The 26873-nt window shown below is 42.6% G+C and overlaps 1 protein-coding gene across 9 annotated transcripts in view, besides 2 other annotated features; it reads left to right on the top strand.

Annotated features, from left to right (window-relative positions):
* Window positions 35-474: a silencer, noted in NCBI's record as "silent region_14553". NCBI's record gives its function as "represses an Ori minimal core promoter by ATAC-STARR-seq in GM12878 lymphoblastoid cells {active_cell/tissue: GM12878}" and the evidence as "EXISTENCE:reporter gene assay evidence [ECO:0000049][PMID:35858748]".
* The window catches only part of RIOX2 (ribosomal oxygenase 2), a 30614-nt gene continuing 3959 nt past the window's right edge, over window positions 219-26873 (top strand). The window contains exons 1-9 of one of the 9 annotated variants that reach the window (NM_001261829.2): window positions 219-269; window positions 5018-5488; window positions 10942-11061; window positions 13471-13599; window positions 18155-18258; window positions 21762-21864; window positions 22638-22806; window positions 25201-25289; window positions 26763-26852. In NM_001261829.2, the coding sequence (NP_001248758.1) occupies window positions 5057-5488; window positions 10942-11061; window positions 13471-13599; window positions 18155-18258; window positions 21762-21864; window positions 22638-22806; window positions 25201-25289; window positions 26763-26852 (1236 nt within the window). In that variant the 5' untranslated portion in view covers window positions 219-269; window positions 5018-5056. The other 8 variants (NM_153182.4, NM_032778.6, NM_001042533.3 and 5 more) reach the window with 8 other exon arrangements.
* Window positions 745-1004: an enhancer, noted in NCBI's record as "active region_20128". NCBI's record gives its function as "activates an Ori minimal core promoter by ATAC-STARR-seq in GM12878 lymphoblastoid cells {active_cell/tissue: GM12878}" and the evidence as "EXISTENCE:reporter gene assay evidence [ECO:0000049][PMID:35858748]".

Below are 26873 nucleotides of genomic sequence, written 5' to 3'. Positions count from 1 at the left end.
CATAAAAAAAAAAAAAAAAAAAAAAAAAAAAAAAAAAAGAGGAAAAAAAAGGCCATTTATTTCCTTCCATATGGACTAAAGAAACGCCCGGGCGTGAACGCGGAACACCGCCGGGTAGCCAGGCCTCCGGGCTGCCACCACTTGCGGGCCGGCGTGGCGGGGCGGGGCGGGGGCTGGAGCACGGCCCGGAGCGTGCCCACGCTGCCCCGCCTCCAGCCGCTGCGCCGCAACGCAGTGGGCTCGCGGCCGCGAGCAACAGGCCGTGCCGGGTGAGTGGGGCGCTCTCGTGGGCATCCCAGCGCCGGGGCAGGCCGGGTAGTGCCCGATCCCGCGGGGCGCGCGCTGCTGCTTTAGGCACCCGGGCTCGGGTGCGGGTCTGGGAGACCTGTCGGTCGGCGAGAAGCCTCGGTGGCCGGCGCTGTGGTTGCGGGACCTGGGACGCGCTCCCAGGCGTCCCACCTCCCCGGAGACTGGGGCAGGGTGGGTGGGGCCCGGATCTAGGGGTAGGGTCGCGGAAGCCTTGGTTACAGAGAGTCGCACACGTGGCCTGCTAATGGTCGCGACACCGGTGACGAGCGCACGGAAAGTTTGGAGGCTTAGCAAGGAGGGTGGTGCCGGCCTCCGCCCGGTGGTGGCAGAACTGCCTGTGCGAGCACGGCTTCCACGTGGGCTGCGCCGCCGGGCGTCATGTCGGGCCTAAGAGACACGCTCTACAGCTGTGAAATCTGAAGTTCAGGTGTGTGGGGAGAAGGGCAGCTGCATTACATCATATGCTTCCAATTCATTTACCAGCAAATAATTCCGCAACGATTGGCCGACAGCTGGGTTGTCCAACAGGTTACTGAGACCAGGTTATTCACTGTTTTCAGGAAGGATAGACTGGGAGGAAGAGGATCTGATTTCGCCACTCATTAGCTGTAAATCTGGTGCCTCGGGTTTCATGTCACTGGGCTCATCTTTGAGCAGAGGAACCTGATTTACTCAGCTTCTTCTGCTGGTACTGGTTTTTGCCTCCTGGACATCAAGCTTTGTAACCTCATGGTCACGAAAATACATTGAGGTATAGTCCGTTTCCTCTCTAAAATCAGACTAAAAAGATAACTGCTGATCACTCCTTTAGGTCAATAGGAGAACCAGTTTTCCCTCTGGATTGATTAACATATCTCTGAGCCAAAAAGAAATGTTTTAGATCAGTCTGGGCAACCTTGTTACAAGCAATATATAATTTCTGACAGCCGTGTGTTTAACTGAGCTGCGTTTGACTGTTGTCCTCCATTAGTGGACCTAAAATTCATCTAGAGAGCGTATTACGTTAATGCAGATTATGGGCCTCAGCCATCAGAAGTGGCAATCCAGTGGGCTTGATGAGGGCCCAGAAATTTGCATGCTAACAACCTTGCTGGTAACTCTGAACTACATTCTGTAAAACTGCCCAGGGGATGTAGAAATTCATACTTCCCTCCCCGATTTAGTAATAACTACTGATGTCTAAAGTGCCTTTTAGCTTTTACGATACTCTTGAATCCTGAAGTGACAGCTGCAATCAGAAAAATAATCCCCTCTGCACAGGCCATCTGTTTTTTCCGTAACTGTTTTGTGTAAGGCCTTTGTGGTTTGTCTCCAAAATTGTATACAGACAAAAGATGAAAATGTGAAAAATTCAGCAGACATTTCTTGAGGACCTCCTATGTACCACACCGTGCTTGTTTCCGGGGATATACAAATCCTTTCCTTCAAGAGCTTCCTCACGTCTTCATGTCCTCAAATATTATAGAAAAGGAGGTTAGGGTACCTTTAAAATATAGTGACTGTCTGTCTGTTGCCTATAGTATGGTTGTCAACATTGATTTTCTTATAGGGTTTATCTGTGGGGTAGTCACCAAAGTATGAACTGTAAATCTTTTAGTCTTTTTACATTTAATGCTTATAGTCAACTCAAATGGAAAACAATTGCTCTTCAAAAACTTTTCTGTGATTTTACAGAAATATTTACTCCTATTGGGGTGGTCTCTAAGGCTTATGGGCAAGGTTGTGTTGGCTGTACTATTCTAGACAAAGCATTGTCTTCTTTAATTACTATAGTATTGGATTCTAAGATATGTGTTTTACTTCTTGCTGTTTCCGAAATTATGATATGTACCTTAAGACTTTTGTATGTTTAATGTGGTAGGATGCTTCATCTATTCTCCCCTCTGCTCTAGAAAGCTGTTAAGAGGAATGGTTGTCTTACAGTATGAGTAGTGTGAGAATCAGAGAAATAATGTATTTGCCCAGAAACCTCTAAGCTTAGGCTCCAATTAACTGAGCCTCAAATCATTTCAACATGAACACAGAGAAACAAATGATGTAACTTTTGGCAGTATGGGTAGTGAAATTTATATTCTAAGGAAAGCATTTGTTATACAGTATTGGGGTTTGTTAGTGATTGTAGATGGGAAAGATTCTTTTAAGTGATTTTATTTTGGCTTAAGTGTTTTGCATTCTTTGATTAGCCACACTTTCTGGTGAATGTGCTTATACTGTATTCATATATTATGCTTAAAGAAAAGCTTTTCGTTTGCATCTTCCTCCTGCTCTCTCCCCTTAAATGAATTTTAAACTGACCAATTGTGAGAGATAAGAGATGTGTGGCTGAATATAAAATGACTCTATAGGGTGCCTTTAGTAATACAAACCTAATAAACCAATCTAAGTTTTTAAAAATTAAACGTGAGCAATGTGCTGTGGTCCCCAAGGCCATCTTTAGTTCAGCAATTTGCTAGGAGGACTCGGCTGATTTATTACAGGGAAAAGATATCAAGCACAGTCAGCAAAGGGAAGAGGCACATGGGTGAAGTTCTGGGGATACCAAGTGCAAGGCTCCAAGGGTCTTCGAGCGGTCACACTGGCTGTGCTCAGTTGCTCCAGCAACTAGTTGTGTCAACACTTGTGAAATGTTGCCAACCTGCGAAGCTTGTTAGAGACTCAGTGCCCAGGGCTTTTACTGGGGGCTTTTCACTTAGGCCACCCCTGCCTGGCACATACCAACGTTTCCAGACTCCCAGAGGAAAGCAGGTGTTGGTATAAACTGTAATGATTGTACATTTTAGGCATGGTGAGCCACTCCTATCAGTTAATGGTGGTGGAAACTCTCCCAAAATCTTAAGTTCTCAGACATCGGCCACAAGCTGCACTTTCAAAGGATAGCAGTCAGGCCTGCTATGGAACGTCTTCTGCATAAGCAGTACCCCTTCCCGAATCCATTTTTCTATCTCTTTGTATTTCTCCATCACTTGAGAGTTCCATGTACTAGCAATGCTGTGCCTTCCTGAAGCCTTAATTCTTTCCTGGAGAATTCAAGCTGGTCTGTTTCACTTAAAGGAAACATTTTCAGAAAATGTGTCTTACTGACCACATATCCTAAACACTAAAGTTTATTTTTTTTTTCTAAGCTTCAAGCTTTACCCCTCTCCTGTAGTATCAGTTTGTGTTAGTCTTCCACCATGTCCTGTGTTTCCTTATCAAAAGCACCTGGTCTTTTGAAGGAATGGAGCTGTTTAGAGGGTTTTATATTTTGACATTTCCTTTCTTAATTTGTTCAGTTTACATCTGGGTTTCAATCTAAAGTTTCTTTTATAAGTTGCAACACGTCACACAGTATGCAACACATCGTTCCAGGATGCTTACTTCCCAGGCCAGAACATTAATTCCACTTAGTCTACAGTGTAGCTGAAATACTGCTTAGTTATAATGACAAAAGAACAGAAAACAGTATTCTTGCAATTCTGATAACTCACCAAAGTAGGAAACTATACCATTTATAAATAACAAGTCTTTCAGAAATTTTGGTTTTTATAAGTACAGTGGTTCTTAACCTTGTCAGGAGATAGGGACTTCCTTAAGAATCTGTTGAAAGTGATGGAGTCCCTTCCCAGAGGGAAAGGACTTTAAGATAGAATTTTGCAGTCTCAGGAAATTTAAATAATTTGAATTACAGTTCTTGGAAACAGATGAGGGAAACCTACCCTCTAAGTATCAATAGTTGTGGTTTGGAGGCAGTTCTGAAGGAGCTTTGCAAGGCTTGGCTGTGTGGCTTCGACTACTCAGCAGTGTCAGCAGCAGAAGCATCACCTGGGAGCCTGTTAGAAATGCAGAACCTCAGGCTTCACCTTGGAGCTAGTGGATCATATCCTGCATTTTATTGAGATGCTAAGGTGATCTGTGTGCACATTAAAGTTGGAGAAGTGCTGTGTTAGGGGCTAATGATATTGGTATTATTTAAAATCTTCAGTTAAAAAGTTATAGTTTTTTCAAGGCTTTAGATATAACTACTTTTAGCCTTCACTTTTCAGCCTTTAGGGGCTTTATTTCTTTAAACGAAGGGGAGTTTCTGATAAAAGTGGCCGTTTTCAGGAATAAGCTCAGAGTTGGAAGTGAGCAGGTTCAGGTGGTTAGTGGAGACAGGAGAAGGCAGTGGCCTGCTCCAGCCACCAGGAGACACCGCGGGTCCAGGGCGCATTGATTGACCTGCGCAACAGTTGGGGTGGTGCTGCGGTGAGGAGCACCTGGCAGTGGGCGGCTGTTAGTTTTTCTCTAGTCAAATGTTTGTAACTCAGAGTACATCTAATTAGATGTGGGCCCTGATGCTGATGGGAGCCAAATCCAAGATATTTGACTTTGCTGTGTCAGTGGCCACAGGCTAAACCTGTGAGTAGGAACTGCTGAGACAGTTGAATAGGTTTATTTGGGATAATTATACTGCCTAATAAATAATACCATGACATAGTGCTTGTGTAAAAGAAAAACACGTTCTTCTTTAGATGAATATGTCATCTGAGTGGTGGTTGAGCTTGAATCATATCTTAGAAGAAATGGCATTGGCTTAAGGCTGTCTCCTATCCTGGGGGAAGTAGCTTTGACCTATGAAGAGTTCTCACGAAGGTGTAATGGTCATTCAGTTGTGTGTGCGCGCGATCCACTAACACCAATGCTGGCACTCCTTGTAAACCTAACCATGTGTGTTTTGTTCTTTTGGTAGGTTTGCATTTCCTTACTGCTTTGTCTTGAAGACAGAACGATGCCAAAGAAAGCAAAGCCTACAGGGAGTGGGAAGGAAGAGGGGCCGGCTCCCTGTAAGCAGATGAAGTTAGAAGCAGCTGGGGGGCCTTCAGCTTTAAACTTTGACAGTCCCAGTAGTCTCTTTGAAAGTTTAATCTCGCCCATCAAGACAGAGACTTTTTTCAAGGAATTCTGGGAGCAGAAGCCCCTTCTCATTCAGAGAGATGACCCTGCACTGGCCACATACTATGGGTCCCTGTTCAAGCTAACAGATCTGAAGAGTCTGTGCAGCCGGGGGATGTACTATGGAAGAGATGTGAATGTCTGCCGGTGTGTCAATGGGAAGAAGAAGGTTTTAAATAAAGATGGCAAAGCACACTTTCTTCAGCTGAGAAAAGATTTTGATCAGAAAAGGGCAACGATTCAGTTTCACCAACCTCAGAGATTTAAGGTAACCAGTTTCCCCATTGCAGAATCCTCATACATTTTAAAGTACTAACATTTGGCCACATATCAGCTCAAGGGTGAATACGTAGTTTGATGATGGTTAGTCTCTTGCCAGTTTGAGAAGGGGTAGCACCTCTTTGGTCTAAATGCATTCTAACTAGGATTAAGATTATGTGTTATGTTTGGTTGGACTGTTAGAAACTCCAGCAACTCAGGGTAGACATTGTTGGGTATCATTGAGCTGCAAAACTAATTATACTGCAAGTTTATAAAGTTGTTAAAGTGGCACTACAACTGCAGGAGTATGTTCTGTGAGCCAGTTTATGTTTTTCTATATGATAGACATTTCTATTTGGTTTGTCACATCACTGTAATTTAAGGCATGACAGCATCAAGGTGATCATTTTTTCCCGAAGTTGCTTCCCTTTACTGCCTGCATCTAAATGGAGGCTTCAGAGCCATGACCAGATCACATGCTAGATGCAAGTCCAATAAAGAGACTTCACCCTTAATAACACCCGAATGGGTGACATTGAGGTACCTGGAACTGCTCCTGGTAAGGCTTCATAGGTGGAGGAAATCTTTGCTTTGCAAATGCAGAGGATTGGCAAATTTTTAAATTTTTTTCTATATCAGGGATTGACATTTGGGAAATAATTTGCCTCCTCTATGCTTGGTTTCTACATTTATAAAATGCAGATTTAGTATGAACTAATTTGTTTTCCTCAAGGTTTGAGATCTGTATCTCATCTCATGACAGATGGCCCAGAATAGGTGAGGGGCTGTTCTGAATTTTAGATAAACTTTTATCCCCATTCAGAAACCCCCTTCTGTGACCCTTCATTAAATCAAAATGGCAACATAGGAGGAGAAAGAGAGGGGTTTGTGAGGTTCCATGTTGAGAGGAATGGATTCTGGCTTTATTGATGGCTTCTGGGGCTCTGTCGTCAGTTACCAATAGTGTTTCCAGTGATTTAACTTGAGGTGGCTTGTTATATCCCATTGGGCTTCATCTGGTGAATGCCCTTCCCTTTCTTTCTTGTCTAAAAGATCTTGAACCTATTCATACTCTGTATGAGGTATGAGTGCTCTTAGATTTTTCAAGATGAGTCCTGATTCCAGCTATTCCATCTCAAGCAATCATACAAAGTTGAAATGTCCCTGAAATGCTAACCTTGTGGCCTAGGCACTCAAAAAGAATTTACAAATCATTTGTCAGACCAAGTTATGATTTGAATTCAGAAAATATGGACACCGTCAATAAAATGCTTCTCGCTGAGCTAGTCCTTGACTAGAAGTAGCACTTTTAAGAGTGGTTTTTAGAAACCTGAGAACTCTAAACATAAATGAATTCAGTGAATTTGATTACGTGTACTTTGGTCATAGACCAGCAGAGAGATGATATTTGGCATATGTGTGGTATCCACTGTGGCTGTCATTTCTCTACTTTAGAATCATCCCCCGCAGGGCTTTTCTCTGCTCATCCACTTAAGTGCTGCACATTCCTCGTCTGGGATTCCAGTGTCCAAGAACCTGTTTCTTTTGCCTTGTTGACTAGGCTCTGGCTGAGTTTATTAAAGCAGGAAGGATGAGCTTTCTCAGCCCAAATTCAGCCCTCAGGCCAGACTAGGATGTGCCTTTTTTTTTTTTTTTTGAGACAGAGTCTTGCTCTGTTGCCCAGGCTGGAGTACAGTGGCACGATCTCGGCTCACTGCAACCTCTGCCTCCTGGGTTCAAGTGATCCTTCTGCCTCAGTCCCCCTAGTAGCTGGGATTACAGGCACATACCACCATGCCTGGCTAATTTTTGTGTTTTTAGTAGAGACAGGGTTTCGCCATGTTGGCCAGGCTGGTCTCGAACTTCTGCCCTCAGGTGATCCACCCGCCTCAGCTTCCCAAAGTGCTGGGATTACAGGCGTGAGCCACTGTGCTGGGCCTTTTTTTTTTTTTTTTTTTAATCTCTTTGTACCACCCGTGCTGGAGAGACCTATAAGCCATAGGAGCTCACCGTCTTACACTAGAGTCTGGATTCTAAGTGCTATATTATAAGGTGGTTTGGCATTGTGTGTGTTTCTTTAGTAATGGGCATATTAACGTCAGAACAGAGGAAGTCTAGAAGGAGTTTATCCCTGGCCAGGTTGAGAGACTGTTAGAGTGAACATGCAGCCCTTTGTTTATTGGGTCTCAGACTGTGCACAGCTTATTAGTATAGTTAGTTTAAAAACGAGTAAGGAGGTAACCAGGGAGCCATAATAAGTTGTTTGGACTTGCTTTCAGTAATCCATATATTAAAAGTCCTGGTGAGAGGAATTATCACAATTATTTGCATTTTGCTTAGCAGGCTAGAGTTTACCAAGTAATTTCATATATTTTAACTTTTGAGCTTTCTAACAGGCATTTGAAATAGGGCAGCTTTTGTTCCATTTTCTTTTTTTTCTTTCCTTCTTTTTTTTTTTTTTTTTTTTTTTTTAAGACAGAGTCTTGCCCTGTCACCCAGGCTGGAGTGCAGTGACGCAATCTCGGCTCACTACAACCTCCGCCTCCTGGGTTCAAGCAATTCTCCTGCCTTGGACCTCCTGAGTAGCTGGGATTACAGGTGCATGCCACTATGCCCGGCTAATTTTTGTATTTTTTTTTTTAGTAGAGATGGGGGTTTCACCATGTTGGCCAGGCTGGCCTTGAACTCCTGATCTTGTGATCCACCTGCCTCGGCCTCCCAAAATGCTGGGATTACAGGCATGAGCCACCGCACCCAGCCGTGGACTCCATTTTGTATGTGGAAAAACTGGAGTTCACAGATGTGACCTTTCCATAACTATTCCAAGCTGATAAGGGTTTCTGACTCCAAATTTAAGGCATTTTCCTACCATACTTTGAAAGATGTATTGAAATTTAGTAGGGCTTTTTATATGTTTGCTTTTGCCTTTCTTTAGGCATATACGTGGTCTTCTATTTTAGCCATGGCGTTGAGTTTTGATTCTGACGGGTAGGTCAGTGGAGAGAGGAGGTCACAGCCAGCCGGGAGAGAGACTTCCACCTTCTCCCTTTCACTGTTCTAGGTCCTCCTTGGGCTCGCTGGATATCGAATCCTGTGGTAAAGGAGAAGACAGGTTTCAGGAGCCTTGTTTGTGCTTGAGTCAATGTTAGTAAAGCAATATCGCTTGTATACTGCTTTGCAATTTAAATAGGATTTGTGATAAGTTGTTTTATGCTGTTCGCCACAGTGTTTGAGTGGGAGTGATAATATCTTTATCTTAAAGATAAACAACTGAAGTCACCTTGCTTGTAATTATAACTTGAACCGAGGTGGTTTGACTCCAGATCTCTTCTAGTAGGCCACGGTTGGCAGATTCAGAGGCTAAAGGTCCAGATGAAATAGAAAAATTGTGCCATTGATAGCATTTTCAGTAACCTTTAAGAAGAAAAGAGACATATTCATTAGTTACCCTGATAGTTGGGTCGGGAACCATAAAATCACCTATACAGTCCTGAAAGACCTCTCATACCATCAGAGAGAGAAAGAGAGAGAGAGAAGCCCTGGTTTTCTAGTGGTTCCAGTTACTATATAAAAATAATTACAGAACCAGGTCCTGCTGGCCTTTCCCTGAAATAGATTAGGCCCTTTTGGAGCTCTGTTAACTCTTTGGAGCTATTCAGATGACATTAAATTATTTTTTCTGTGTTAAGTAGAAACTCTGAGATCTATAGAGAAGCCCAGTGGTCTGTATAAAGAGGTCCTTGGCTAAATCCATGGCTCACATCTGTAATCCCAGCACTTTGGGAGGTCAGAGCAGGAGGATAGCTTGAATCCAAGAGTTTGACAACAGCCTGGGCAACAAAGTGAGACCACCATCTCTACAAAATAAGAGAAAAAAATTAGCCGGGCATGGTAGCATGCACCTGCAGTCCCAGCTACTTGGGAGGTTGAGATGGGAGGATCATTTAAGCCTGGGATGTCGAGGCTGCAGTGAACTGTGATTGTGATCACACCACTGCACTTCAGCCTGGGTGACAGAGCAAGACCATGTCTTAAAAAAGTCTTTTTTCATATTGACCCAGTTCTTCCCAGTTCTTTCTCACTTGATATTTTTAATACAGTGGATTCTTTTTCACTCCTGTGGTAGAAGGGACTCCCAAGCTGTGGCCATTGGTTTGCTCAGCAAGTATTTAAATATGTTGTCATGCAGTCTGTGTGCCAGGCACTGTACATTCATATGTTTAAAACTTCAGTCTCTTTAGTGCCCTTTGTGATTTGTCTTTTCTTAAATTCTCTGAAAGGTATGGACTTTGGAGCCATGCTGCCTGAATTTGAATCCTGGCTCCATCATTTACTAGTTGCATGGTCTCATGCCTCAGTTTCCTCATCTGTAAACTGAAGATAATGTTAGTACCCTCTTTATGAGGCAGGGTTATTGTGAGGGTTGCATAATTGATATTTGTAAAGCACTTGGAGACAGTGCCTGGCACATAGGAAGTGCTAATATCTACATGGCCTAATTGCCCCCCTCCTCTCTTCTCACCAGCCTTGGTAAAATCAGACTTCCTTCTCTCTCCTGGGAATATATGGCCCATCGCTAGGCCCCTAAGTCTGATGTCTGCTCTGAAGAGTTGATAGTGGAGAGAAGGAACATTACCCAGCCTGTTATTTCTTCTCTGTCTGTACCTTCTTCCCGTGTTATCATTTCTGTTCCCATTGCTTTAAATATCCATTTTGTGTAGGCAATTCCCAAGTGTAAATCTTCAGTCCTTAGTTTCTGCCAGAACTTCAGACCGACTTAAAGACATCTCCATGTGGGGGGGGGGGGGGGGGTCTTAGCATTCCAAACTTAACATTCCTAATATAAAACTCTTTTTTTTGTCCTGAAAACTTGTTTTTTAGTAAGTTTTTCCCATCTCGTTACGTGGAAAGGGGAACTGATTGCCCAAGTCAAAAACCCAAGAGTATTTTTTTTAACTCCGCTCCTTTACATTGAGTCTGTCGGCAAGTCCTGTCTGTGCTGCTTCTAGAGTGCATCCCACTCTTCTACCTCCCTCCTTGCCTTTCTTACCACCCCAGTCACTTCTCGCTTGAGCTGCTGCCTGAGAAGCTTCCTCACTAGTCTCTCTGACTTCCACTCTTTTCTACAGTGCATTCTTCACACAATAACCAGGGTGAGCTTTCAAAAATGTAAATTGGATTGTGTCCTTCCCTGCTTAAAAGCCTTCCGGACTCCCAATTGCCCACCTTGTCAGTCATCCCTTTATCTGTTCACGTCTGTTACATGGTGTTTCTGCACTGGAATGGAAGATTTTTGAGACCATGGGTATTGGCTGTATCATTGCATAATTCCCAGTATCTGGTGTATAATAGTTGTGCAGTAAAGACTTCCTAAGTGAACAAGAACATGCTCTTATTCTTATTTCTAATACATTTTTCACTCCCCCACGCCGACCCTTTCTTTTTTCCTTTTTTGTAAAGGATGAGCTTTGGAGGATCCAGGAGAAGCTGGAATGTTACTTTGGCTCCTTGGTTGGCTCGAATGTGTACATAACTCCCGCAGGATCTCAGGGCCTGCCGCCCCATTATGATGATGTCGAGGTAAGAGATGGAGAAAATTGCCCCATGTTGGGAAGAATGAGTTGTTGAGAGCCTGGTTTAGTAGAGTTGTCAGGGTGAGTTCACATTATTCTCTAAGGCTCTTAGGTCTGTATTCGCTCTTTCTGTGCAGTTTCTGAGATATTGATTTCATCAAAATGTTGGGCCAAAGTAAATCCCACTAAACTGGTTTCCTGCTCTGTCTCAAAGGAACAGCTTGTTTCCAACCTTACTAATTTAAAGAGCCACACATTCGTCTGAAACAAGTATTTATTGAATTTATCTACAGAAAGGTGTGCTTGGCTTTTCCTTTAATTTCACAAAGTATGGTCTTTAATAAGATGAGGTCACAAATAATCCTTCATGTGCTTTCATTTTGTTCTTTTTCAGTAGCTGCCAAAAATATGTATATATTTTCCATTTGTGAAAATCTTGGGGCAGCTTGAATGAGGGTCATGGTTTCACTTAAGCATTGGCATCTTGACAAGTGTTGATTTCACTCTGATATGGCTTCCAAAAAAATTTAACTCTTTGGCTTATGTATTCCATAGTTTTATTTTTGTCCTAATATAAGGTGTAAACACAGAGTTATTGGTAAAAAGTCCCCTTTTTCTCCTTTGATAGCAATTTGACATCAATACATTTTCACAAAATGTTATTTTTAATATTTTTAATAGAATATCTTTGACTGAATAAAGAATAAAAAACTCGAAGTTTTCCTATCTCCCCAGGCCCTTTCAACATTCAGGATTTAGACATTCAGTAATATCTGAAGCTTGGCTTTTCCATCAGAGATTATGGGCTTTTAGCTGTCTGATAGAAGATTTAAAGGAATGAGATAGTGGGATATAAAGAACTCAGCGAGGCTCTAAGAAAGTGAAAAGAATGAATATCCAGTGTCAGGATTCACGATTCCGTTTTTAAAAATAAAACCCAGTAGTGGCAACTTTTGTTTAACTGTGGAATGACATGCATTTCTCATCTTTCATTTTTATTTTTTATCGGAAACTTGACCCTTGTGCAGTGTGGGGGTTAGTGGTGCCAACACCTCATGCAGTCAAAAATCTGCTTGTAACTTTTGACTTCCCTAAAACTTAACTACTAGTAGCCTTCCATTGCCTAGATATCTTACTGATAGCATAAATTGGTTAACACTTATTTTGTATGTTATATGTGTTATATACTTTATTCTTCAGTAAAGGAACCTGGAGAAAAGTTATTAAAATTATAAGAAAGGGAAAAGTATTTTTAATATTGTGTTTATCAGTACCGTAAGTTTACATCATTTGTTTACAAGCTGAATCGTCCATCTGAAATGGTGGGTAGCCACAGCTGCAGGCCTTAATCTACAATACACATCAAGCAATTCAACTTTTTCTTGTAACGTTACGACTTTTTTCTGTTTCTCGGGAGTACTTGCAGTAGCAGTAGTGGCACATCATATGGGTCCCATGGTGTTATTCACGGCTTAAGTTGTTGCACTAAACATGATGAAAAATACACAAGAACTGTTGAGAGATCATTTTTTACTGTGATACACAATTCACTGGAGAGAGGAACTGCTCATGTGGAGATAATTAGCATCACACTTGAGCTCGTGGCAATAGCAACAGGAGGTAGCACAAAATTATTACAGTAGTACAATATGTACTAAAGTTAATTTTATTCAGCTATTCCATATTGCATCTTTAAGTTTGTTTACATTTCTTGACTGCAAATGGTGGTCTAGAAGTATTTGTATAGGTAAGTTTTGATAAATTTTAACCTTCTGTAATAGATTTGTGAATATTTTATGGTAGTAGATGATAGACTAGTATCTACATATGTTTTTATATTTGATGCATTTATGACATTCTTAATTCTTTTGATATTTTTCATGTTTTTCAAATTGTTGCAAATCTCCTCCAAATTTTCCAATATAATTTATTGAAAAAAATCAGCATATAAGCGGACCTGCACGGTTCATCCCCATGCTGTTAGGCCAGGCGTGGTGGCTCACGCCTGTAATCACTTTTGGAGGCCCAGGTGAGAGGAGTGCTTAAAGCCAGGAGTTCAAGACCATTCTGGGCAACAAAGTGACACCCCATCTCTACAAAGAAGATAAATTAGCTGGGAGCTGTGGTGCATGCCAGCTTCCCAACTACACAGGAAGCTAGGGCAAGAGGATCATTGGAGCCCAGGAGTTTGAGAGGCTGCAGTGAGCTGTAATTGTGACACTGCACTCCAGCCTGGCCAGGAGAATGAGACTGTCTATAACAACTAAAAAAAAAAAAAAAAAAAAAAAACCTGTGTTGTTCAAGGTTCACCTATATATTTGTCTATTAGCCCCTTAGAGGGCTAATAGTCCGGAAGCACTTTGTGTGTGAGTTGTCAGGAAGCTCTCTGATGCTCCTGGGCCTTGTGGGTCTCTAGGTTTTCATCCTGCAGCTGGAGGGAGAGAAACACTGGCGCCTCTACCACCCCACTGTGCCCCTGGCACGAGAGTACAGCGTGGAGGCCGAGGAAAGGATCGGCAGGCCGGTGCATGAGTTTATGCTGAAGGTATGTGATAACCGTTGTGGGCACCTCATTGTTAGAGCCATTGTGGTTTCCCCTATTGCTAAGACAAGTTCAGGCTCAAGGTTTAGAGTTCGTGTGATGGTCCCCGTGGGAATATATCCCTGGGTTTCAGGGCAGGGTGCTTCTCATTGCTGTCAGCCAGCACATGTAATTTCTGAAGGAGTCTTGGTGGTTTGCACTTGGAGAAGTGGGTTAAGGAAGTATTAAGTTCATTTCCCAAATAACCTGTTTTCATGTACAGTTCAAGTCCAACAGGAAGAAAGAGAATTCAGTGAACCACTGACTCCTCTAGAGGAAAAATGGAAGCTCTGGCCTTGGGCAGCTTCTCCACATCCAAGACGATGGTCAGCACAGGGCTGGAAGTTGCTTAGGCAGAACATAGCCAGGGATCCCTTAGTTTTTTTTGTTGTTGTTGCTAAAATTCCAGTGTGACTCATTTTCATCCTGGTTATATGTCAGGCTATCTCTGTGCCCCCTGCATAGTTACCAGAACAGTAGTAATCAGGAAAGTTCTTGAGGATTCCTTCTCTGGGGATTCAGGTGGCTTAATCATGTGCAGGTTCCTTGGCATCTTGCTGCTGAGAAAATCTGTCTTTGAGCAGTTAACATCGATGGGAACATAGCCAATCCCCAGCAGAAGAGGTTGTTGAGGAAAAGAACGTTACATGGATAGGAGTAGTTCCATAATTCAACTTTATACTCTTTCTTAAAACATGTAACTTAATTTCCTTTAGCAATAAAACAATAGTTATTTTAAACCATTCCAAAGATTCTACCAACCTGACACATTTGCATATACTTATTGTTTTTCTTGTGTCTCGAAGTTATAATTAGCCTGTTTCTTACTCAATGCCTTGTGTGTTTCTTGATTTCAAAATCCTTACCTACCTCCCAGTAACTAAGGGAAACAATCTTGCTGTTTAGGATGGGTGCCTATATTACAGGAGACTTAAATCAATAAACAACAGTAAAGGTAACCTTACTGGTTTTTTTTATGCTTTTAGTCAGTGGTCATCAAACTGTGGCCCATGGACCAGAAAATCTGGCCTGCTGCCTGTTTTTGTAAGTAGTTTATTGGAACACAGCCACACCCATTCCTTAATGTCCTGTGTTCATACTACACCAGCAGAGCGGACTAGTTGCCACAGAGATCACATGGCCCGCAAACCAAAAATACGTACTGTCTTTCCATTTGGCTCTTCACAGAGGTTGCCAGCTTTGTTGCATCATGTTTACATAGATTCACGGTTGGTTATCTTTAAAGACTAAGCCATCTGTACTCTCGGAAGTCAGGGCTGAGTTACTCAGGCCGGTGACCTGGCTACTTGCTCTGCCCGAGAAGGTCAGGCTTCATAGTGGCCTTTAAGTGTAAAGGGTGTGGATTCTTTGTATTGTTGCCATGCCCATGCCCATTAAACAGTCAACACAGAGTCCATTAGGAGATGCACTGAGTCTCCTGGACAGAGAAAGACCATGTTGTACAGTATTGTTCAAGTGTGTATGTGTATGTGCATGTCATTTTTTTTTTTTTTTTTTTAAGACAGAGTCTCACCCTGTCACCCAGGCTGGAGTGCAATGGCGTGATTTCAGCTAGCTGAAACCTCCGCCTCCCGGGTTCAAGCAATTCTCCTGCCTCAGCCTCCCGAGTAGCTGGGATTACAGCTGCCTACCACCATGCCCGGCTAATTTTTTGTATCTTTAGTAGAGACGGTTTCACCATGTTGGCCAGGCTGGTCTCAAACTCCTGACCTCGTGATCCACCTGCCTCGGCCTCCCAAAGTGCTGGGATTACAGGCGTGAGCCACTGCGCCTGGCCCACATTTGAGCTTTTAACCAGTGGGCCTCTTCAGGCGAAACCTTGTGTCAATGCCCAATGATGAAATAGAAAGGCTTAGTGGCTGTGGTTGAGGGATGGGCATGGGAGGGTGACAGTGGGGGTCTTGGAGCCCTTATCCGCTTCTTTCCCCTATGCTAGTGGCAGCCCGTGCAGTTCATCTGCAGACCCAGACTCCCAGGATGAGATCACGCCTGTGATGGAAACACCACTCTGTGGCTCAGGGATCTGACAGATCTGAGTTTGAATTCAGCTGCTGTCACTTATTAGCTGTATGTCCTTGGTCAAGTTATTAATCCAAGTCTCAGTTTCCTCTTTATTAAAACAGAGATCATGATATTTACCTTGCAGGCTATGAGGATTGAAAAATATTATTTTGCTGCCTCCTTTACAATAAATCTTTAGGCGGGGTGCGGTGGCTCACGCCTGTAATCCCAGCACTTTGGGAGGCCGAGGCAGGTGGATCACCTGAGGTCAGGAGTTCGAGACCAGCCTGACCAACATGTAGAAACCCCATCTCTACTGAAAATACAAAATTAGCTGGGCGTGGTGGCTCATGCCTGTAATCCCAGCTACTCAGGAGGCTGAGGCAGGAGAATCACTTGAACCCAGGAGATGGAGGTTGCAGTGACCGAGATCACGCCATTGCATTCCAGCCTGGGCAACAAGAACGAAACTCCGTCTCAAAAAAAAAAAAAAATCTTTAGAGGCAATATCTGTATGTCTGTCTGAGTTTTTCTGTTGCTTCTTGTCAAATTACCACAAACTCAATGGTTTAAAACAACATAAATTCATTATTTTATGCTTCTGAAGGTCAGGAGACTAAAAGGGATCTCTCTAGGGTTGCTGTACTGCATTCCTTCAGGAGGCTGTAGGGGAGAATGTTTACTTACGTTTTCCAGCCAGGAGGGTGGGGCAAATGTGTATGAAATGAATGAAATATAGTCATGTGCCAGTTGACATTTTAGTCAACAACAGACTGTATATGTGACAGTTGTCCCATAAGGTTATAATGAAGCTGAAAAATTCCTATCACCTAGTGTTATTGTAGCCATTGTAAAATGTTGTAGTGCTACGCATTACTCACGTGTTTGTGGTGATGCTGGTCTAAACAACCCTACTTCTTTGCTAGTCATATAAAAGTGTACAGTAGGGCCCTAGGCTCTCCCATTCACTTACCATCACTGACGGGCTCACCCAGAGTAACTTCCAGTCCTATGTAGATGTACCATTTATTATTGTTTATACTGTGTTTTTTCTTGTCCACGTTTAGATATATTTAAGTACACAAACACCATTGTGTTACAGTTTTCTACAGTATTCAGTACAGTCACATGCTGTATAGGTTTGGAGCCTAGGAGCAGTAGGCTGTACCATGTAATGTAGGTAGTACACTATACTACCTAGATTTGTAAGTACACTGATGTTTGCGCAGTGACATACCACTTTTCTCAGAACATAACCCCATTGTTAAGTGGCATGTGACTGTATACCTGAGAGTCTCACTCAGGCTGGCACAGAGACACTCAGTAAATGATAGTTATAATTATCAGTAAAGCATTTACTTGAAGTACTGTCAGTTTGTTGTCATTCAGGGAAAATTTGCAACTAAGATAGCTCTTATGAATATATATCATGATATATTCCTCTTGCTTTGAGGAGAATCTTAATTTTTTTTTTTAAGCTGGCATTTCTTGAGCTCTTTCTCCAGGGCTCATGGTCTTAACCATTGCACTAGACTACCTCTTGTAGTTGCAGAGAGAAGATGAGCTGCCCTCAAGATTCCCTCTTTTCTCCATAGGTAGCTGCTACATGGAATATTTTGGCCTGAGTGGGATTGGGAAGGAGGCAGCTCAGGGCAGGAGTAATTTGGGGAGAATGTTTTGGTCCACCCACTTGGAATAGGGTAGAGGAGGCTCAGCTGCCCAAGAAAATGATGAATTTTTGATTACATCTTATTTTTCAGTTGAAATAGGGATTGTATAGTTTTTCAATTCATCCCAACATTCATTGAGCCTGTGTTGAGTGCTAGGTGCTTTGCTAGGGTAGGCTCTGGGAAAGACAAGATGGTAAGATACAGACCCTGCGCCTAGAAGTACTCAAAAATTATCAGGAAGTGGGGGACTGGCGGATAAAATCATATAATCCAATCACATGCCCATCATTGCCCTAAGAGCTTGGAAGCAGCATCTCTAATCCTCAAAATAATCCTGTAAGGTTTGGGGCTATTAAACTTCATTTTACAGATAAAGAAACTGAGGCTTTGGGCAGGTAAATTGCCAGATCATCAGCCAGTAAGTGGCTGTGTCTGTGTGACTCTAAATTCAAGCTCCTACTCTTAACCACTGAAGCATGCAAGAGGGAGGAAGCAGGCGTCCCAGGCACAGGATGTTACCTTCCTTGATCCCTGCATCAGGGCAGGGTAGTCTCAGGTGAGTCTAGTCTCAGCTTGAGAATGAAAAGATAGTGACTTCAGGCACCGAGAGCCTCTCGTGGATCATGGTTAACAGTGACAGGCTCACGGACACAGAGAAGCTAGACTAGCTGCACACGACATGAGCCCAGCATATAGACTGTGCCTTGAGGTTGTGGTTTCTAGAATGGAGAACTGAGACTCAAAGCCCATATTTATCTCCCTGAAATGAAGAGGACTGAGAAGGAATACTTATTAACTTCTCTACCCTTTCCTATTCCTTCCTTTAGCCGGGTGATTTGTTGTACTTTCCCAGAGGAACCATTCATCAAGCGGACACTCCTGCGGGGCTGGCCCACTCTACTCACGTGACCATCAGCACCTACCAGAACAAGTAAACACTGCCTCCCAGCTGCACATGCTAGGACAGCTCTGAGTCCTGGCCTGCAGCAGCCACATTCAGGAGGGATATGAGGGAGTTGGCCCCTACCTCCTATGCAAACCCCAGGGTTTATGTCCTTTACTGACTTCCACATTCCTTTGATGTCCCATGTATGTGACTGGTCCCTCTGGACTTGCTTCTGGGGACATCATGAACCTGACTCTGTAGGATGTGGGGCATTGCCCAAATAGAGAGTCACATAGTTTGGAAAGAAAGAGACTAGCTGTGGGTACATCAGTGTGTTAGTGATGCCAGGCTGGGCTCATACTCTCTCTCTTTTTTTTTAATATGATAAAATATATAGAACATAAAATATACCATTTTAAACCATTTTAAAGCATAGTTTGACATTAATTACATTCACACTCTTGTGCAGCCATCACCACTATTCGTTTCTAAAACATGTTTATTCCAACAGAAACTCTGTACCCATTGAAATCTCTTGGTCTCTTTGAGGGTTTCTCTTTTTACAGTCCATGAAGTTAAAGTAGGACAGGCAGTCTGGAACAGCAGGAACTAAAGTGCATGTGCTGACAGCAGTTCCAATTAAAATCATGTTCATTTCAGCTAGTACCTCCTCACTGGGTGGCAGTGCTGTGTGAGTTATATCCAAAAAGCAGCAACCTTGCTGGTCCAAATCATATTTAAAAATACTAATCATGGCCAGGCGTGGTGGCTCACTCCTGTAATCCCAGCACTTTGGGAGGCTGAGGCGGGTGGATCGCTTGAGGTCAGAAGTTTGAGACCAGCCTGGCCAACATGGTGAAACCCCATCTCTACTAAAAAAAATACAAATATTAGCCAGGTGTGGTGGTGTGCACCTGTAATCCCAGCTACTCTGGAGGTTGAGGCAGGAGAATCACTTGAACACAGGAGGTGGAGGTTGCAGTGATCCAAATCACGCCACTGCACTCCAGCCTGGGCGACAGAGCGAGACCCTGTCTCAGGAAAAAAAAAAAAATACTAGTCATGAGTTAATGTGTTAAACAAATATGTACTAGACATTGTGTTTGTTGCTGGGAATTCAAGGATTTTATCGAAGGGGTTTTGAGAGAGCTTATACTTTGGAATTGGTTGTAGGAGAAGAGATGGTGTGATAAATTCTATTGTAGGTTTGCAGAGGAGACTCTTGGAGCATAGAGGAATGCATTTAGCTAAGTAGGGGCATTAGAGAAGCCTTCAGAAATGACACCAATGCTGAGTGAGTCTTAAAGGATGAGTAAGTAGGGGTGGGTCAGCAGATCAGAGTAGGAGAGGACATTCTAGGTCCAAGGGACGGCAAGTCACCTCCTACCTTCAGGGCCAGAACTTGCAAAACAAGTTAGTAAGCATACCTCTGCTTCCTCATCAGACTTTTCAGTGTGAATTTCACCTCTACATTTAAAAGACTTACTGGAGGAATTAGCTGAGGCCTGGCCCTAGTTTAGTGCTATCTTTCCCACAAGTAGAAGGCCCAAGTTTGTATTAGGCTTCCATTTTGAAAAATGCCCTCATCACTTTGGCTAGGTAGGTTCCTTGCATTTTAAGGGACAGAAAGTCACCAAAGCCAGCTCAAGAAGTGCAGGGTCACTTGAGGGAGTGAGTCCTAGAAACTCCAGGCTACAGAGAGGCTGGAATTAGAAGTCCATTCTGGATTCAGAGCAGTTCTGGACCACATAGTTTGGCCCTTTGAATATCCGTGCATCTGTGGGTGTCCCATCGTTAATGTTTCTCAGGTACTCCCTTTCTGTAATTCTCTTTTCCATTTCTCTTGCTGCTACCAACTGGTTTTCTAGTGACTGGTGTTTTCTCCCTTCTGTTCCTTCTTCAGCTTCTGTTTACTCATAACATTAGGCCATCACCAGTTGCTACTCTGACCTCCATCTCATTGACCCTGTTAGCTTTTGCTTCTGCTAAGGACCTGACTCACTCTCTGTTTCCCAATCCCAAGAGTGAGGAACTGGCCGGCTGCCCCTGGGTCCTATTCATTTCTTCTCTTTTCAGCTGGGGCTGGGAAGAGCTTCCTAAGTTACAGAAGTTGCCTGCTTAGGATTGTGGGTGGGTACCATGATCAATGTGTCCAGGCTGGATTTTGACCTGTGTCTTGGACAGTGATGCTGGAGCTAGAATGAGAAGATGTGACTTGAGGGCCATTGCTCCCCAGAAATGATCCTGTGTTTTGAGCCTAATGCTCCTTCAGGTACCATGTAAAGGTGAATATTTGGGGCCTCTTCCTAACACCTGTCAAGGTAGCATTGTTGGAGTGTTTGGGGGTCTGCTGTATGTTGTTGATTTGGTTGTTTTACCAAAGTGGACCCTTCAAGAGATATTCCTAAATTGTGGGAAGTCCCAATATCTATTCTGACTCTTAGAGGAGCACTATTTAACTTCTACTAAATTCCTCCATGAGCTGTTGCTGTATGACTTCCACCTACATAAACCTGCAAAGGAAGCACATATTGTATGGTGCTGAGAGATCTGCATGTGCCCTCCGGGTTGAGACTCAATTAAAGATGCAGGGTTGGATATAACATTAAGTCACAAAGCAGTGAGGCCGCCAGGTAGTAGATGTCTTGGGAAAAGTGTCTCTCATGTGGCTTTTGTCCTCCTTTGCAACTTTTCTGGGAGGGAAGCATAACAGTGTTAATTTTGCTTACTGAGTGAGAAGTAAAAGTCATACTGTGAATTTCCATTTTCTACTAGCCGGCAATTTGAAATCTGCTGGTGACACAGGAAAATTTTAAATAGCTAAGAAATGTTTAAAGAGAGCATCCCCACAGAGTGCATTTCTTACACCGGCACGCACTTAGGAATGAGCCAATTCCAGATACCCCAGAGAAAGCAAAGGTAATTGAATAGGGATATTTGTCCCTAGATGTTATTTTTAGTCACTGGCTTCTATCCCCCGGTAAAACCACTGCTAGACATAATTGTTTTGGAATTATTGATGGTAGATATTTTCTTTAGGAGTAGCATCCCTTGTAAGTGACAAGGAAAATGTAACATACAACTGTTCAAATAATTACACAATCCAGATATCTTGCTGTTACCCCAAATTTGTTGTATTTATTGCACATAAAATTTGGTTTTAGATCCTATAATGACTGTTTAAATTTCCTACAAATCTCCCCTCATAGACACTTTTGTTAAAAATTTGGTCCATTGAACTTCCTGTTTTATGAAAGTCTATGGTTAATTTTCTGAGAGCTTTTAAGAGAAATCAGTATTGAAGCCTAGCTTCCCACTTTTAACTTTGCAAGTGAGTGTCTGGAACGGGGAGGGAGGAAACAGGGTGGTTGATGAAGGTCTTAGATTTCCATGCTGAGTAATGTCCAATTAATGGAACTCAAAATGCCTGGACAGGGAAGCCATAATCCAATTTGTAGCTTTTGGCTTTACTAGCAATAAGTATTTTATGTATATTTCGTATGCACTCACTGTTTTGGTTTTTTTTTCCCCCTTGGTGCATATCCTAGTTCATGGGGAGATTTCCTTTTGGATACCATCTCGGGGCTTGTATTTGATACTGCAAAGGAAGACGTGGAGTTACGGACCGGCATACCCCGGCAGCTGCTCCTGGTAAGGAGTAAAGGCAGGTAGGAATGAAGGATGGTAGCTGCAGCCCAGGCCAGCTGAAGTCCTACCTTAAGGACCCCAGGATACTTCTTCCAACATGAGCCAGGCTTGTCTACTGTGCTGCACTGCTGAGCTGTGTGACTTGCAGAATGAGTGGAGTGCCATGTGTTATGTGGTGATCCAAAGAACTGTGATGTTGTACAGACAGCTCTGTATTTCACAGTGGCAGTAGCAGGCAGTGTGAAAATGTTGGTTGAGTAAATGAATAGTACGGCCAGGAGAACTGTAGATTTAGCACACATCAGATTACTAGTTAAGAGAAACTCACTGTACTGGAGATCCTGGCCTCGGTGTATTCGTTGGCCTCCTGTTCTTTTATTACATTTTGAAACAGGAGTGTTATTTGATTAGTTTTGAGATGAGTGGATTAGAGCTGAGTTGAGCAAAGGTTGCTTTCTCTGAAGCATTCATCTTAGGACAGTGACCTGCTTTCCAAAAGGCAGAGCTCAGACTGTACCATATTTCCAAGGATCTCTATTTCTAGGCAAAATTCTGAAAATTTTTTGCAAACAATAGGCAGCTTAGAATTAACAGTGTTTATAAGGAAATGATGAGATATCATTCTTAGGGGCTCAGGTTGTCCCTTCCCCTTTGGAATGACATGGATTAATGTCTATACCCGGTGGCTGGCAGTTTTGCAGTCTACTGTGGAGACTGAGCTGGGCAGTAAGTTCTGCTGGCATCTGGGCCAGGACTCACTTCTGTGTTCCTAGCAGGTGGAATCCACAACTGTTGCTACAAGACGATTAAGTGGCTTCCTGAGGACACTTGCAGACCGGCTGGAGGGCACCAAAGAACTGCTTTCCTCAGACATGAAGAAGGATTTTATTATGCACAGACTCCCCCCTTACTCTGCGGGAGATGGGGCAGAGCTGTCAACACCAGGTGGAGCTTGCTGTTTTCTTCTGGGTGGTCAGAGGCTAATGCAGGATGTTTACGGTTTTTCTGGGTAGGCTCCTTTTTGAACAGATGGAAAGTATGAAGTGCTTTCGTGTTAATGTGGACCACATCCATCCTTAGTGAATATGGGCAGACGAGATGTGCTGCACTCAACCTTTAGCAACCTGTATCTTAGAAGTCATTTGGAAAGAACTTGTATCCCACCCTGATGGGAAATAAGAGCCCTGTCCTTTTGGGTGAGAAATATGTATATTTATAGGTACTCTGGTATTCATAGTCTTCAGGAAGTTTTCAAAATTTGAACATTGAAATAATCTTGTTGGAATTAAGTCAGGGTTGGGTTGTCTTTATTTGTGTTGCTTAAAGGAATACCTGAGGCTGGGTAATTTATATAGAAAAGAAGTTTATTTGGCTCATGGTCTGCAGGCTGTACAAGAAGCATGGTGCTGGTATCTGCATTTGGAGAAAACCTCAGGCTACTCACAGTGGAAGGGGAAAGGGAGCTGGCATTTGCAGAACACATGGTGAGAGAGGAAGCAAGAGCGAGGAGAAGTGCCAGGCTCTTTTTAACACCAGCTGTCATGGGAACTAATGGAACAAGAAGTCACTCACCGCCCCCAACCCCAGGGAATTATCTATTCATGAGGGATCTGCTCCCCACAATGTGACCCAAACACCTCCCCTTAGGCTGCACCTCCACACTGGGGATCAAATTTGAACATGAGATTTGGATGGGACAAACATCCAAATCATAGCATGGGTAAAATTGTTACCATCAGCCAGTGAGATTCAAGAAATGTCCAAGATTATCATCAACCTTCTCCAAGGCACAGGTGCCTAATTTATGACAGATTTAGGCTGCAAATGATATAACATACTTTTGGATGGATGATGTCATTGATGACTTCCAGATGGATGATGTCAGTATCCTATAGCAAAGACCACCAAGAACATACTCCTGAATTCAGACGAAATTGGATTTATTGACTTGTTGCAGTGGGAAGACCACACACCATTGAGAACTGCAGGGCATCTCAGTAAAACGGTGTTAGAAAAGACTTATAGGACTCAGGTGTATGTTAGGTGATTTTGGAGAGGGTTCAAGGAAGCAGGGCTTTGCTCTGGATTGGATGCTGTCAGGAAATGGAAGGGATTCTATGATTAAGTCTCCTAAATGTTATCTGGTAGGCAGGAGGAATGTATGAGGCTGAAGTTATCAATGGTAAAGCGGAAGTGGTCACTCATTAGCCAGAGTAGGGGGATGTTCGGTCAGTGTTGTGGTTTGGAATATGTTCTTGCCTTGCCTGAGTCCAGACATGAGTATGTACGGAGTGGTGGTGTTTTGTTTTGACCTATCATGGTGACAGTGATCTCTGATGTTAGCATTCTGTGGAATTGCCTGTGTTCAACAGGAGAACACAAAGACCTAGCTGTGAGTGCCAGGCCAGCTTTTTGGCTGCTGTTCTTTCTCAGGGTTGAGTGAAAAGAGTATTTTTTACTAACTTTAATAAAACTCTTAATTATGACCAAGAGAGAACCACTGAGATAGATAATCTATAAGGTCCCTTCCAACACTGATTCTATATACATTTTTATCATAGTCTTTGGAGGAAGCTTAGAATTTGTTTTTGATTGTATCTATTCAAAATAGCAAATGTTTTACAAGCACATGGTTTAATCTTTAGCAGAACAGTTTGCTTATGCACCAGCTTATGGCCCAGACTACTTCAGTGTTTTCCTTATCTTAGGCATTATACTCAATAAAGTGATGATCCCTCACGACTCCTTCCCCACGCAGATGACCCTGTAAGGCTAGTCTGTTTTTATTGGGTATTGTTCCACTAAGTTAAATCCAATTTGGAAAAAAAAAATTTTCTGTGGACTTTATTAGATGGCTTTTATAGGATACTATTCTTGACTTACATAGACTGAATAATTGACCAGGGTCACACACCTAATAATTGGTGGAGTAGTGCAATTTTGAACTCAGGTAGTACTTCCAGAGTCCATATGTTGAGCGAGAAGCTTGTAGAGGACAGAACCTGGAGGAGTGAGTGTTCTGTGCAGAAAGCACCACAGCCTTATGTGCTATGATAGCCACTGTACTTCGATGGTATTATTTTTGTCTATTTATTGTACTTATAAACTTACATTATTTATCTATGTCTGTCTTCACTGTAAGAATGAGCTGCATAATGATGTGAACTATAATATCAGTACAATGTTGGGGTAAGCAAATTCTTCAGTTGGAGTGTATGCCATGTTTGGATTCACCTGTAAATTGTTAGTAAATGTGTTTCCTATGTGTATGTATAAGCAAGTTTGAATCTGCCTGTTTCCTTTTTTGAAGGTCGGCTTTCTCTCTTTGGGGTTTTCTAGGTGGAAAGTTACCGAGGCTGGACAGTGTAGTGAGACTGCAGTTTAAAGACCACATTGTCCTCACAGTACTGCCGGATCAAGATCAATCTGTGAGTATCCAAGAGGAGGAGATTTCCTGTCTTCTCAGGGTGTTTTTCATCAGAGGCCTCAGGTTATTAGATTAACCACTGGTCTCTGCCCTTCTTTAGGAATCCACCTGCATTCAGTTTAATGCCATTTCTTCAGGTCAGATGATGACCAAATCTCACAGTTCCAATTCCATATTTTCTTGCCCTCATCCTCACAGAACCTTCCTTCATCCCCTTTATGTGGTGATTAATGTCTGGTCTTTGCTTCTCATCCTACTTCGGGCCTTACTGTTCTTGCTTGGACAGCCACAGACCTCATTCCTGAGTTTCTCAGCCCCAGTCCTCCACACTGTGCAGATCTATATTTCTATGTGGTTTTGTGGATATTGTTGCATCTCCTTAAACTCTATCCTGTAGATTATGGAGAACAAAGTATATATTCTGTAATTTTGCTTCCTAGCCCAGTGATTCCCCAAACTGGCTAACTGATCATGGAGTCAATTGGAAAGCTTTTTAAAATTATAAATTCCTGGGTTTCATCTGGTCTTGGAGCCTTTGGATTTATGTTTTGATAGAGCTCCCTGTACAGTCCTAAAGACCTTGGAACGATCTCATACCATATGGCTCCACCTCATTCCTCCTAATCAGCTCTCTAAGGAGCTATCCCATGAATGATCAAGGGGGATGAGAGGGGCACTCAACATGTCTCGATAACCAGATTGTTCCAGCCGTCAGGGCCAGAGTTGGAATATATATATGAATATACATGAATAGATATATATATATATATATATACATCCTCAAAAGTACACATTCCTACATCCCTGTCTAAAAAAAAAATAGTGATTCTGATAACCAGTCAGTTTGAGACATTGTACGCTAGGCTAAGATTTTTTTGCCCTTATCTAAGAGGTGACAAAGAATGACTAAAGGCTCTGGAAGAGACAATAAACTGCACTGTGTAACATGGGGAGTGAAGGGAGATAGGGACCATTTGGGAGGGTAGTGTAATTGAAATGGAGTTTTTTATCGATCACACAGCTGGTATTTCTCAGGAGTTAATGACTTCATGATTATAAATTGTCAGTTTATACCTAGAAATGTCAGATTTTTTTATTCAAAAAAGATAGTGCAGGTATGATTAAAAAAACTGAGGATTTCATTGATAAGTTGATACATAAATCACTGCTTTTTCATTAAATCCTGAAGATGCTCTTCCAGGTAGCACTCCAGCTGTTTTAACAACTTAGAATGCCCATTAATTGCCACATACAAATAGTAACCTGTGGTGACTAATGAAGTATAGACATTGTGTGGATGCACACACCCGTCACTTTTTGCCAAAAGGATTCTTTACAGTATTCAATAAATTTCACTTGAGCACCAAGGCTTTTGAAATTTTTTTTGGTGTTGACCTATTGGAAAACCTTCCTAGTACTGACACCTTCAGTGTTGTGTTGTTGATGGCCTAATGCATTTATTTTTTCCCCAAAGGATGAAGCTCAAGAAAAGATGGTGTACATCTATCATTCCTTAAAGAATAGTAGAGAGACACACATGATGGGAAATGAGGAGGAAACAGAGGTTTGTTTCAACTGAAAACAA

The sequence above is a fragment of the Homo sapiens genome, chromosome 3 (assembly GCF_000001405.40).
Source record: "Homo sapiens chromosome 3, GRCh38.p14 Primary Assembly".
Taxonomy (NCBI): Eukaryota; Metazoa; Chordata; class Mammalia; order Primates; family Hominidae; genus Homo; species Homo sapiens.
Note: the sequence above shows the minus strand (reverse complement) of the source record. Positions and strands in the feature narration are given on the sequence as shown.